We start from the raw sequence: 14,781 nt of genomic DNA, 5'->3' as shown, positions 1-14,781 counted from the left end.
AAGAAAAACTAAGTAATTAGAAAAAAGAAACACCTTATCTATCTCATTAATAGATTTGTTTAAAAAAATATTTTTTACAAAATGCTAGCTATGTCTTGATATTCCTAGACATGACACTAGCTTAAAATTTCATGAATCGTCTCTCTAATATTCATGTTACTTAAGAAACTATTACAAAAGATTTGACTGCATTCATTTTCTAAGAGCCCTGCTATATATGTATGTTAGCACTCTGCGTTGTACTCTCTTCCGTAAAAAACACAAACCCATCAATTTATCATTTCAGCTTTTTCAGTCTGGGTACAACTTTTTGTGAGTTATACTTTTAAACTTTTTGCTTTGTACTTTTAAAGACTAGACCCTAGATATCATGTGCTTGAGAATAGTGGAGATAGATTGCTTAAACTTTATTTGGGCATATGCTAAGTACTTTTGTGGGGGCAAAGGCAGGCAGTGAGGATGTTAAGCTTATCCCAAAATATTGAATTTTTGAAAATAGTCAAGTACAGTCACTTTACTTGTTAGAAATTTCATCACCACCTTACCAGACACCACATCTTTCTAGGCAGTCTCCAAAGGCACATTATCAGATAGACTTTAAGAATAGTGATGAAGCTCCAGGAAAAACTTTATTGTCATTAACATGTAATACAACCAGCCATGAAAGCTAACAAAGATTTTGCCTAGAAAGATACCACCTTCTACAGATTCCTTTCTCGAGAGCTGTGGCTATATGATATTACATAGTGAGAAGATTTTGAATGTGTAGGGACACTGAACCTTCCCAGCTAATCCATTTTTTCTCTTTGAGAAACAGCGCTGTGTTGCTGCTCCTGAGCTGACCTCTGAGATCTTGATGGGAACTTGTTTCTGTTTTCAGCAGTTCAGCTTTACTCAGACCCCACTCAAAGCATTGAGTTCTATGGGGGGCCGGAAAAACGTTCTAAGCTTGTGTGTCCAATCACCACTGTCACTGCTCTCTGCAGTGGCTCATCCCCACTTCAGGCTACTTGGGCCAGGTTTTCTTTACTCTAGTGTTAAGAGACTGCTAGGCCTGCCACGTCTGCCAGAACACAGCTCCCAAGACTCCTCAACGCCATGGGAAAGGAATGAGCTGAGAGCAATCTAACGACTGGGAGACAATGAGTCTCTTGGATCTTACTTCTTTTGGTTGCTCAAGCACTTTAATTCCTGAGAGAGCCCTCCCATCTCCACCAGTTCTTCCAAGAACCTGTGCCCTGCTTGTGTCTCTCTAAGACACACTGGTCTAACTTGTTATATGCCTTTACATGGAAGTTGGTAAAATAAAATGAAAGCTAAACAATGTCAGAATATGGAGGTATGAAACAGAATTTCCCCATGCTTGGTAAAATGTAGAAATTTATGTAATGCTCAGCCAAAGATAGATTCTATGTACAATAAGTTCTATTTTAAGAGCAAAAGCTTGAGTGTATGAGGAAATAAAACAACATTTTGTGGAGGTATCTTTGGCTTCAAGAAGAAAGAATAGATGTTATTCTCCACTCAATGTGAGAGACTGAACTGTGGGGGCTTTTAGATCTTTTTGCTTATACTCTGTGATTCAGGGGGCACATGGCAAAGGTAAACAGACTGAAGTAGCACCGTGGATATCTGTGAGCTGTGCTGGGAAGGTTCACAGTGATTCCATAATAAATCTCAGGTCTTTAGTCTATGATGAAAAAGTACCCTTTTCCACAGAGAAGGTAACATAGAGTATGAACAAGTGGAGTGTGGAATAACTTTGTAACTCATGATGAACCTACTTTGTCTGGTATTTTAATAACTTCTTTTCCTCTGTTGCTGTACTCGGGTTTGATTTTCTGAATGGATCACTGGTAGAATGAATAAAATCAAGAATACTCTAGGCTGGGCGCAGTGGCTCACGCCTGTAATCCCAGCACTTTGGGAGGCTGAGGCAGGCAGATCACGAGGTCAGGAGATCGAGACCATGCTGGCTAACATGGTGAAACCCTGTCTCTACTGAAAATACAAAAAAATTAGCCAGGCATGGTGGTGGGCACCTGTAGTCCCAGCTACTCGGGAGGCTGAGGCAGGAGAATGGCGTGAACCTGGGAGGCAGAGCTTGCAGTGAGCCAAAATCGTGCCACTGCACTCCAGCCTGGACGATAGAGTGAGACTCCATCTCAAAAAAAAAGAATACTCTAAAGCAATGTTTTGAACTAAATTTGGGTACCTACAGAAGCACCACAGCAAACCTGAACTATCAATACACTCTTTCTATCTGTGTCTTTTAAACTGCTTAGATGATCATTACGAATGGGTCTTTGCAGAAAGGTGGTATTTGGATTCTGTTTCTGTCACTCTAGTCTTATAAGATGCTCCTGTATTATGTTACTTTATAATAATGTAAAGGATCACTGGCTGACATAAAGCACAGTAGGTAGGAATATGAGAACAGTCAAATGAGAGAAAAAAATGCTTTGTGATTTTATCTTTATTTCTGCAGGTTGGAAAACAGTTTAACTGTTTTTAAGATGAGTCACCAAAATCCATACCAGAATTTAAAATACATACAAGGACAACAATTCCAGTGCCCCTGCTCAGGCACAGATTTCAGGGCAGAATATCACTAGGGAAAAGTTTTCGGAGGCTTCACTTATTGAAACCCAGCACACAAGCTAAGACACAGCAACTCCAGGCTTCAGTATGAAACCATACAAGACTCTTAGAAGGGATTTCCCTCTCTGAAAGCAGCTATCTGTCTACAGGATGATCAAGACCCATGCATCTTTCTTCTTCCAACTAGGAAGACACATAAAAATGACTCAATATGTTCTAGGCGACCCAAATATTTAGTCAAGGTGATTATGAAACAATGTCACATTATGAAACAATGAGAAAGATTGTGGCTAAATCCAGGGTAGACAGATGCAGAAGCTCCAGCAAACATAGTCCTATCATAGCAGACTGGATGCAATACTTATTCCTGCACAAACAGACCTTTCCCTCTGGCCTTGGGCCTAGAACATGAATTTTTTGTAGTTGCTGTTGGGGAAGAGGCCCTTGGGCTTTAACCTGCGAACAGCCTCCCTTAAATGCTTGGGCTGCAGCGGGGGCATTTCTCCCCACATCTCACACACGTCCAGGGCCTCTTCCACCACCTCTCCAACCAAGACCTTGGCTATTCCAGCCATGGCAATGGCCACGTTCTCAGACACCGAACTGCCAGTGATAGACTGCATCAGAGCTGCAATGCGTGCTTTTGGGAAAGCTGACTGGCGACACACTTCGTAGCGGGCCAGCTGCTCCTCAGACATGGCAGACAGCAGGGTTGTCATCCTCTGAGCCTCCTCTGCATCCACAGTGGGCTTCCTCTCCTTCTTTCCTTTGGTATCTGTTTTCAGCCTTTTGGCTGCAGGAGGAGCTGAGGCTGAGGTTTCTTTGTCACCTTCTGTGAGGTCCATGACATCCTGACTCCTGAGCTCACCTTCCTGATCCCTGGGTTCTTCCAAGTTCCCATCTAGGTCCTCAGGGATCCCATCCTTGTTGCTGCCTTTCAGACCTCGGGGCATGGCGAACATCTCAGCAGACACACCTGCTTGCCTGCCTGTCTCCATGGGTGAGATTCAGGTCTGCTCCATGACAGCGCTGTAGAGGCAGAAATTGTTCTGGCTGGGGTGGTTTGATTATGGATCTGCAATGAGAACCTTTCAAAGATTTTGGCTGCTGTGTTTCTGCTGAGCCATAGTTTAGCCACAACTGGACACAGCTCCCTGCCTCCCACTCCCACACACAAACACACACACTGGTTTTTCTCACTTCCACAATGTGAAGAAACTTGTGGATGGAGAGTATATTAGTTTTAGATCAATGCATAATAAGTTCTCACCAATTTTGGATATTTAAATCAAACCCCAGCTCACAGGTCAGAAGTCCCACTAGGCCAAGTGACTGCCTCCTGCTCAAGGTCGAACAATGGACCTCTAGGGTGGGCCTGGCTGCGTGGACGTTGCCTTGACCTGGGAAAGGTCTGGCTGTGATCTGATTCCATGGTGGAATTCAATGCCTTAGGGTTGTGAGACCCAGGCCCACTTGTCTGTTCTGCCTGCTGCTGTGAGGATGCTCTCAGCTTCCAAAATTTCTCCCAGGTCTGGTCGTGGGGCTCCCTGGATCTGCAGAGCCGCCACAGGAGAATCTCCTGCATGGGGGAAGGGGGGCAAATCTCCCTCTGGCTGGAGAGCGCTGTTATTTCAGGGGTTGTAACCAGAAACAAATGGCAACTCAAAGAGGGGAAATCACCCAAAACTTGAAAATTAACCCCTGAAATAAAACAGAGATACATAATATTTTAATAAAAATCAACTACTGTATACACTTATCTCTCATTATGATAACTCAGATGATTGAATTATACCCAGTACTTAATGTCCATTGTTTCAGGGTATTCCTAACCTAATCAGGGATTTATAGGCACATTAATTTCATGGTTTCATCCACACTCAGGGGAGGGGCAGATGCGGGGCGTGCCACTGAGGGGCAGGAAATGCATGGGACATTTCAGAATTCTGTCTGCCTCAGATATTCTGAATGTTTGCATTTCACAATAATAAAGAACATATTTTCTCTGAAAATTTGACATTTTATGAAGTTGCGTGTTAGACAACTTAAATGTCGGAGCAAAAATCCCCCACTGATTCAGCAACAAGTCGTTTATCAGGTACTCTGAGGATAAACTGGGCTGGTAAGGGGAATATGGAAATATTTATTTCAATTTTTATATTATATACATATATGTATACACAGGTTGCAGAGAAGCATGTAAGGGATAAAATTATTTCAAGCACAAAAATATGTATCACATTTGGAGAAAATTAAGATGGGTAAAAAGCATAAAATTAGTTCAGAAGATAAAGTAGACACTAAAATACCTGACTTTTAAAGAGCTTTCATATATTTTAAAATATTTGGTAGCAGATATGAAATTACTATATTATTGCCATTATGGTGAACATATTTAAAATAATGATCTAGTTATTTTATCTTTAAATAACAGAATTTGCAATATGTCAAACATCTTTTGCAACTGTTTAAACTCGTAATGAAAACTTAGATGTCTACATAAAAATATATGAGGACTATAAAGATTTTAAAACTTTTAAAGATTAAAGACCAATGCCCCCCATACTTTATTTATGCCATTAATTACTAAACTGAGAATTACTCAACTTCTCAGTTCAACAAATTAATATAAATGTTAAACTTAGAATTACTCAAATTCTAAGCAATTTGCCTTCTCAACATTTCTTTCCTAATTCTGATTTTGCTGGTACAAAATCAAAGGTCCTAAAAGAATCTGAGAACTTGGCAGCACTTCACTGCATATGAAGATATTAGTCTGTACTTGAATCAAGTAGTTGAAGCATTCCTTTGATGGGTTTTCTTTATTTTTTGAGAAAATAAAAATAAATTTACATTTTATTATATTGGCCTCTAATTAACATCATACTAAGTATTAAAGAAAATAGATTTTAATACTTCAATGTAAAAATTGGTCCATGTTTGATATGGGCTTCTTTGACTTGCCTTCTGTTATTTAATTGAATGCAGAACATGATAGCAAGACCTAGAATTCATGTGACAATGATATTTAATGCAAGTTCATTTAATATTAACATTGTTGAAAATTTTTCCTTGCTGTAACATTAAGGATAATCTAATCACTTGGATTACTGGTGCCTCAGGAATAAGATTAACAATGAGAATAACATAGTGATAGTCTTCAATAAACAGAGCTTAAAATGGAATCTATGACAGTCAATGAAAAGAGTGACTCAAAGTTCTGAGACCTTATTATACCTTGATACTAAGTAACCAGTTTTACTTAACTCACCTGAGGGGGCATGAATGTGGTATAAGAACACATGTGAAAGTCATGCATAATCCAACACCTTCACTTCCCCGTCTCAGCAACACATATTTACATCAGAGCCTTCGCAAGCCACCTAAGGCTTTCCCTTTTCAATATTTACTTAGTACTAAAGGCATGATCAGTAGGTTATAAGCAGAAACAAATGGTAACTCAAAGAGGGAGAACCATCCAAAACTTGAAAATTAACCCCTGAAATAAAACAGAGATACATAATCTATTAATAAAAATCAACTACTGTGTACAGTTATCTCTCATTATACTCTAAGGAGAGACTGAATGTATCTAAGCTTTTTATATCCCCCATTTGTCTCTTAAAGACTATGTAGTTCTTTACCTACAGGCTAGAGAAAGGCCTACATTTATGATTTCTAAAATGAAGTGGGGATGAAAAGGCTATATACCCCAAGAAATATGCAAGATAGTTGAGGCATAAAGAAAAAAATTAATGTCCATTTATACTTATTTTTATCTAAAAAGCAAGAATTAAATTTCTAGTATTTAATATACAAAATATAGCACATAAATAACGTTTATAAATAACAAGATATATGCTGCATTATTCCAAAATATTTTACTGGCTCACACCTATAATCCCAGCACTTTGGGAGGCCAAGGCAGGCAGATCACTTGAGCCCAGGATCTGGAGACCAACCTAGGCAAGATAGTGAAAACCTGTATTTATTGCAAAAACCTCAATTGCTTTTGCATCAGGCTAATAAAAAAAATACTAAAATTATCTGGGCGTGGAAGCCTGTGCCTGTAGTCTCAGCTACTTGGGAGGCTGAGGTGGGAAGATAGCTTGAGCCTAGGAGGTAAAGGTTGCAGTGAGCAGAGATTGCACCCATGCACTCCAGCCTGCGTGACAGAGCAAGACTCAGCCTCAAAAAAAAAAAAAAAAAAAAGACATGATCTTCTGCACAGATTAGATAACCTTCCATGTAAACTATCACAGATGGGGGAGAACCAGCTCATATTTTATAGTGCCTCAGAGAAAAATTACAGACACTTTCTAAGCATCAGTGTCAGGATAATTTTTGAATTGCTTTTTAAAAGGATAAAAGCACTTAAAATTTTTTCCACTAAACAGTGTCATCATTCTTCATCCCATTATGCTTATTTCAGAGCATTATTCTTGCTCTGAAATCCCTTGTAATGTTTTTAAAGCATTTCTTCCATTTCTATTCTATGCCCAATTAAATTTAAAAAAAAAAATTATGTCAGAACTGCCGTTATTATTTTGCAGAATGTTTGCAAAAGCATTCATGACAATCAGAGCCTTTCTGGATACATCTATAAAGGTGCTGGCAGAGGAAAGTTGTAAAACTGTTACTCCCCCAAAATAATGATGTGGCTCTGGTTTTCAAATTAAAAATAAGAAAGAAACATACCAATTAGGTGGCTGTTTTTCAGATCCTTGACAGGCTCTTTTTAGATGTATCCTCTTTTTTGAATACATACTCAAAAAATATTTTCAACAAATATCTATTGAACATTTTTCTACATGCTATGTATCATGGAGGAAATGGCATGAATATGTACAAAATTTAAACTCTTCCTGCCTAGACATGAAAGATCTGATATTTTAAAGTTTTTTTTTTTTTTTAATTTTATCCCTGGCAGGGGAATTTCTTAACTGTCATGGTCTTTCAGAAAACCGGTCAATGCCTTAGATGCCCTAAATCTACCAAGCATAGTTCCAGGCACTTATTTCCTACTTGGTTTATCCTGTTGTAATTTCTTTAATTATTACACAGATACTGAATTTAAACACATAACTGAAACTGTTTATGATATTCAGAGACCATAAGTGTTTCATTTTATTGTCGCAAAATTTCTTGTTGGGTATCAAATAGGTATAAGCAGAAGTTAGCTCTCTGATGACTCTAAAATGAATCTGAAGTTTACAAAAACCAACACAGTGCTTACAAATTATTTTGATGCTTCCTTTTTTAGCTGAACAATATAAAAGGGAGCTGGGAAAGATGAGTTCCCTTCATGGTAGAACATAGAAGCTACATGGACTGGGAAGATTCATTCCAATTCTTCATTCTACCAGATCTGAATCGACTCTGCTCTCTAGTGGGCACCCCCATCCTTTAACTTCGGGGTATGGAAAGATCAAGACAGAAGAAAATAAAAGAAGAAGAAAATAAGGGGCAAGGGAGCAGAAAAGAAAGAGCGGTGTGCTCTATAGGAACTGGCATTTCCTTAGGAGTGGAAAAAGAAAATTCAAACCCAACTATGCCCCTCCATCCCCTAACCTTTCCCTATCGAAGCAAGCTGCCTCCTCTGAACCACTGTACTGAGATTTCTAACAATGCTGTGCCAGCTTTCCCCTGCCTTGTTCCTCTAACAGCTCTCCTCCCATCCTTGAATAATAAGAATCAGCTGACAAACTCTGGGTCTTAGAGATGTATATGCTTCACTTGTGTTTAGCATTGGGCGTGAAGATCCAAGGGGGTAGCAATCACAGAGCATGGTAAGAAACACGTATTTATTCCTAAAGGCTTTCAGGTTGACTGTAGGGTGCATTTACATTGGATGATTTGATTTCTGGAGTGTGTGTGTGTGCGTGTGAGCATGTGTGTGTTGTGTAAGGATTGTATTACCACTAAAACTCTCTGGAATATAGTAAGACCAATTTAGATTTAACACTTCAGTTAGTTGGTTGATTTTATTTTTTCTCCATAAAAATAAATAATTATTTTATTTTTTCTCCATAAAAATAAATGATTATTTTATTTTATAATTTCTGTTTAGGTACCATCACTGAGTGTTATTAAAAAGGGAAAAAAATGCAAGCTAAAAAGAAAAAAAAGGGAGAAAAAGGTAATTACCAACAAATTGTTAAGAATACATCTGTTTTTTTAACATTGCTTATTAGCATTTATTCCATAAGTATTTAGTGTTCACTGAGATTATAGCAATAGTCTCTGGCTTCTCAGCAGACCACATTGTCACCTCCCTCAAAAAATTATATATATATGTATAATATATAGTACTTGTATCTATTATATATTATACTTATATATAATTTTTATATATAGGTATGTATATCTATATGCCTATTAGATATATACACACCTATATATGTGTGTGTGTATGTGTATATATATATATATATATATATATATATAAAGCATATATATATCAGATGGAAACACATCGGTTCCTACCCTTAAACGTGTCTACATCTGTATCCAGATCAGATTTTTCAGATTTCTCCCTTCTCTTTCATCACAATGATGATTCCTCCCCCACCTATAAATTATTCTCTACCTGTGGTCTAAGTCCCACAGTAGCCTCTCTGAAAATATCCCTTATTTATTTATTTCTGTCTTTCCTCTCTACTACTTTTACCCCAGAAGCAGATAAATACTGTCAATGTCTCCTGCCTTGAAAATAATTAACTTCACTCTCCTCATCTACCCACTAGCTATTGGCTATTCTCCTCCCACCTAAGAACTGGGCTCCTTCTGAGAGTTGTCAGTCCGGCCTGTCTCCTCTTGGTCAACTTCTGTTGACTTCTCAAGTCTGGCTTCTGCCTTCATCACGCCACTGACACTCCTCTCATATGTCAAATGCAGGATTTGACAATGTTCACCACTCATTTCCTTTAAAAAAAAAAAAAAATCCTTTTCCTGTGGCTTCTGGATCAGGTTCCCAAGCTATTCTAGGTTGATTTCCCTGTGTTGACATACTTCTTTTTTTTTTTTTTTTTGAGACAGAGTCTTACCCTGTCGCCCAGGCTGGAGTGCAATGGCGCCATCTCGGCTCACTGCAACCTCCACCTCCTGGGTTCAAGTGATTCTCCTGCCTCAGCCTCCCGAGTAGCTGGGATTACAGGCGCATACCACGATGCCCAGCTAATTTTGTGTATCTTTAGTAGAGACGAGGTTTCATCATGGTGGTCTCGAACTCCTGAACTTGTGATCCGCCCGCCTCGGCCTCCCAAAGTGCTGGGATTACAGGAGTGAGCACCACGCTAGGCCAACATACTTCTAAGTCTCCTAGTGAACTCATCTTTTTCTAGCTGGCTGAATGGTCATCAATTATCAGGGTCACTCTCTCAGCCTCTTACTTTTCCCCTTTTCCTGGTTCTCCTGACAACCTCATCCATTCTTGCCTCTTACAACCATCTCTATGCTAATGAATACACCTCCCATTTTCTCCCTTCATTTTCAACTCATAGAATTTCCAAAATTAAAGAAACACAATGGAAAGAGGAATAAAAAATGTATTCCTCATACCATAGGTCTGGCACCAACTTTGAAGTTGTTTTATTTCCCCAAAACTCTGTAGCATTTATGCATCTAAAAGTTGCATCACAGGCTTTGGTTGTGAAGATCTTGAAAAAAGCAGAATTCTTTGCACAGTATATGTTTTTAAACTGGAGATTAAATTGTCAACAAACTGCTTATTATATGTTTAATAATATGACAAGAGGGGTTAGATGATGTTAACTTTGAATTGAATTATTAAATGTTAAATCTGGGTAATGAGTGCATAGGAACACATTATCTAGCATATGTTTAAATTTTCCATAATAAAAAGTTTCTTTTTAATTTCTACCCTCATAGTGCTTACGTGCTACTTTACAAAATACAGAATTCTCAATTCAAAGGAATTGAACCAAAAATCAACCTAATCCCATCACCCTTCAATGGGACTAGAGAAACTAAGTGACTTTTTCATGTTTCCTAGTTTCTTACACAAAAGTATTGATGAAAATGACAGCATATAGACTCATCTATTAAATATGAAATTTAACCAGAGCTGACTGTGTATTGAGCACTTTCCAAGGGTCAAGAGAATTGAGATGAATCATTTGTGCAAAATTTATACTACAGCCTTTGAACCAGTGAACAAGCTAGAATAATGTAGAACATTTAGGGCAGACATCTTTAAGGTTCACTATAAAAATCACAGAGAAAGGAATATACCACAAAAGCCTTCCACTCCTGACAACATGGAAAACATGGATCTCTGAATCAGCTTTGAGAAGGTGACAGCTTTGGGTTTTGTGCTTTAAGGAACACCTAGTTTAAAAATGAAGGTGCCTTGCATGTGCACTGAACACCTTCCCAAATGTTGTCATGTTGCCTGCTGGAATTTTTTTTTTTTTTTTTTTTTTTTTGAGACAGAGTCTCACTCTGTCACCCAGGCTGGAGTGTGATGGTGCAATCTCAGCTCATCACAACCTCCGCCTCTCAAGTTCAAGCAATTCTCCTGCCTCAGCCTCCTGAGTAGCTGGGATTACATGCGCGCACCACCACACCCAGCTAATTTTTGTATTTTTACTAGAGAAACATGGTTTCTCCATGTTGGTCAGGCTGGTCTCAAACTCCCGAACTCAGGTGATCTGCCTGCCTTGGCCTCCCAAAGTGCTGGGATTGCAGGTGTGAGCCACCGCACCTGGCCTCCTGCTTGAATATCTTAAACACTCCTATCAACATAGGTGCTTGTAGTGGGCTGAATGGTGGCACCCAAAAAGATGCGCATCCAGTATCATCTGTCTGGGCTCTAAGTGCAATCACATGTTCTGGGCTCTCAATGCAACCACCTGTATCGTTTTAGGAAAGGGTCTGAGTTTGGGGACAGACACACAGAGGAGAGATACACATAAGAGGAGTAGGTGACATGAAGATGGATCAAGGAGAGACACAGCCACAAGCCAAGGGACAGCTGCAGCCACCAGAAGCTGGAAAAGGAAAGGATCACATTCATCCCCAGAGCCTCTGGGGAGTAAAGCTCTGCTGATACCTTAATTTCAGACTTCTGGTCTCCAGAATTGTAAGGAAAGTAATTTCTGTTGTTTTAAGCTACCTCGTGTGTGCTGATGTGTTACGGCAGCCCTGGGAAACTAATGCAGTGCTACGTTTCCTTCCTTCTGTTAAAGCTACTCAGCTATGCAACATGCTACTGGCTGCTACCTTAGAGTTGAAGAGAATTTGTGTCTCTAATAACATGATGACAGACTTTAAGAGGATTCCTTCAAGAACTTATTTGCATGAAGTAAAGATTCAGTCTTAGAGTTTTCAATATTCATCACATAGGCTATGAGAAGGTCCCTTACTCTTCATTGCATGGGCCTCAGTGTGGGAGGGGGTGTGGAGTGAGTGCTTAACATCTGCAGATAGAGCGGAGTTCACTTAAACACTTACTGATCCGTATCATGAGCAAAGTGGTGTGCTGTCACTGCTACTGTAATGGGCACGGCTGAAGACTGGTCCTATGACTTTCCGCAGCTCAGAAGGATGCTTAATGGCATTTTGAAATAGGACTGCCTCTATAATTGGCAGGAACCTGTGAAAAATAAAAATGTAGGGCTTCTTGTTCAAAAATTATCCAGAATATCAAAACAGCAGAGAATTAAGTCAAGTAAGTACCAGGCTCTTCTGAGAATGGACCCTGTGCAACTGCACAGATCAAATGTCCGTGAAACCAACTGTGTTTAGACATATTCAGTTCAAGGAGAGTGTATTGTCAGGGAAAAACCTTCAGAGATGATTCTTCCAGCAAAGAAAAAAAAAAAAAGTGGGGAGTGGAACAAGCTTCCCCTATACCTCAGTGTGGCAGAGACCCAGGGACAGAAAACCCTGGCAGCTGGTGAAGACAGAACCTCTCAAAGCAGAATGAGAGGCAACGAGCCACAGTACATCTCCCAGATAATTAGAGACAGTGATTGGAAATAAACTGAAGCTCGGCCTGGTGATGGGTATCAGAGGAAAGCAAGAGCGCCTTAGCAACATAATTAACAAAGGCTCTAATCTAGTCTTGAGCAAGCATATTTATTAACAAGCTAAATATAGATAGATACTAGTACACAGTAATAACATCAAACATATTAATATGTATATGCTAACATATTGAAATTTATGTACATATACATGTATATCTATCTTTTAGCCATTTTCTCCTTATTGTCTTTATCCCATAGCATTTAAATACTGCCAAATATTATATATTACATGTATATACTACTATTTCATATATATTAGTATACAATACTATTTTATGTAATATATTTAATATTTTATAAAATTGTATATAAATTATCTTATACAATATATGATTGTGTATGTAGTACATGTGGCTTTTTTTTTGAGACAGAGTCTTGCTCTGTCATACAATATATGATTGTGTATGTTAATACATGTGGCTTTTTTTTTTTTTGAGACAGAGTCTCACTCTGTCATACAATATGTGATTGTGTATGTAATACATGTAGCTTTTTTTTTTTTTTTTTTGAGACAGGGTCTTGCTCTGTCACCCAGTCTGGAGTGCAAGGGCGCGATCTCAACTCACTGCAACCTCCACCTCCCAGGTTCAAGCAATTCTCCTGCCTCAACCTCCTGAGTAGCTGGGACTACAGGCACATGCTGCCATGCCTGGCTAATTTTTTGCATTTTAGTAGAGACAGAGTTTGTGTGCCCAGGCTGGTCGGGAACTCCTGAGCTCAGGCAATCTGCCTGCCTTGGCCTCCCAAAGTGCTGGGATTACAGGTGTGACCCACTGCGTCCGGCCAATACGTGTGTATTTTATACTATGGAGGGACCTCATGGGTGCACTGAAGGAAGCATTTAGACCAGTGAATTTTTTTTAACCTTTATCTTAGGTTTGGGGTACAAGTGAAGGTTTGTTAAACAGGTAAAAACGTGTCATGGGGGTTTGTGGTACATAGTATTTCATTACCTGGGTACTAAGCCCAGTACCCAATAGTTATCTTTTCTGCTCCTCTTCCTCCTCCCACCCTCCACCCACAGGTAGGCCCCAGTGTCTGTTGTTTCCTTCTCTGTTTCTTGGTTTCTCTTTTTTACAAGACACAGTTTTACTCTGTCACCCAGGCTAGAGTGCAGTGACACGATCTTGGCTCACTGCAACCACCTCCCAGGTTCAAGTGATTCTTGCACCTCAGTCTCCTGAATAGCTGGGATTACAGGCATGCACCACCAGCCTGGCTACTTGTTGTATTTTTAGTAGAGATGGGGTTTCACACCATGTCGGCCAAGCTGGTCTCAAACTCCTGACCTCAAGTGATTCACCCGTCTTGGCCTCCCAAAGTGCTGGGATTACAGGTGTGAACCACCATGCCAGGCCATTGTTTCCTTCTTTGTGTTCACAAGTTCTCATCATTTAGCTCCCACGTATAAGTGACAACATGCAGTAGTTGGTTTCCTGTTCTTATTTTAGTTTGCTAAGGATAATGGACTCCAGCTCCACCCATGTTCTCTCAAAAGACATGATCTCATTTTTTATGGCTGCATAGAATTCCATGGTGTATATATACCATATTTTCTTTATTTAATCTGTCATTGATGGGCATTTAGGTTATTTCCTGTCTTTGCTATTGTGAATAGTGCTGCAATGAACATTTGTGTGCATGTATCTTTATGGTAGAATTATTTTTATTTCTCTGGGTATATAAGCAGTAATAGGATTGCTGGGTCAAATGGTAGTTCTGCTTTCAGCTCTTTGAGGAATCACCATACTGCTTTCCACAATGGTTAAACTAATTTACACTCCCACCAACAGTGTACACATGTTCCTTTTTCTCCACAACCTTGCCAGCATCTGTTATTTTTTTACTTTTTCATAATAGCCATTCTGACTAGTGTGGGATAGTACCTCATTGTGGTTTTGATTTGCATTTCTTTGATGATCAGTGATATTGAACTTCTATTCATATTCTTGTTGGCTGCATGTAGGTCTTCTTTTGAGAAGTGTATGTTCATGTCCTTTGCCCACTTTTTCATGTGGTTGTTAGTTTTTCTCCTGTAAATTTGTTTAAGTTCCTTATAGATGCTGGATACTAGACCTTTGTCAGATGCATAGTTTGCAAGTATTTTCTCCCATTCTGTAGGTTGGCT

At 39.2% G+C, this 14,781-nt stretch overlaps 1 long non-coding RNA gene and 1 pseudogene across 1 annotated transcript in view; both read right to left on the bottom strand.

The window, feature by feature from the left end:
• TAF11L1 (TATA-box binding protein associated factor 11 like 1 (pseudogene)) lies at nt 2,947-3,504 on the bottom strand (annotated as a pseudogene).
• Nucleotides 5,886-14,781, bottom strand: part of LINC02218 (long intergenic non-protein coding RNA 2218) — a 39,937-nt gene continuing 31,041 nt past the window's right edge. Inside the window, exons 2-3 of the long non-coding RNA NR_134270.1 lie at nt 12,076-12,217; nt 5,886-6,100 (exon numbers count right to left, since the gene is read on the bottom strand). This is a non-coding gene — a long non-coding RNA (long intergenic non-protein coding RNA 2218). The remainder of the gene's footprint in view (nt 6,101-12,075; nt 12,218-14,781) is intronic.

The sequence above is a fragment of the Homo sapiens genome, chromosome 5 (assembly GCF_000001405.40).
Source record: "Homo sapiens chromosome 5, GRCh38.p14 Primary Assembly".
Lineage (NCBI taxonomy): Eukaryota > Metazoa > Chordata > Mammalia > Primates > Hominidae > Homo > Homo sapiens.
This window is presented reverse-complemented; position numbering and strand designations above follow the sequence as displayed.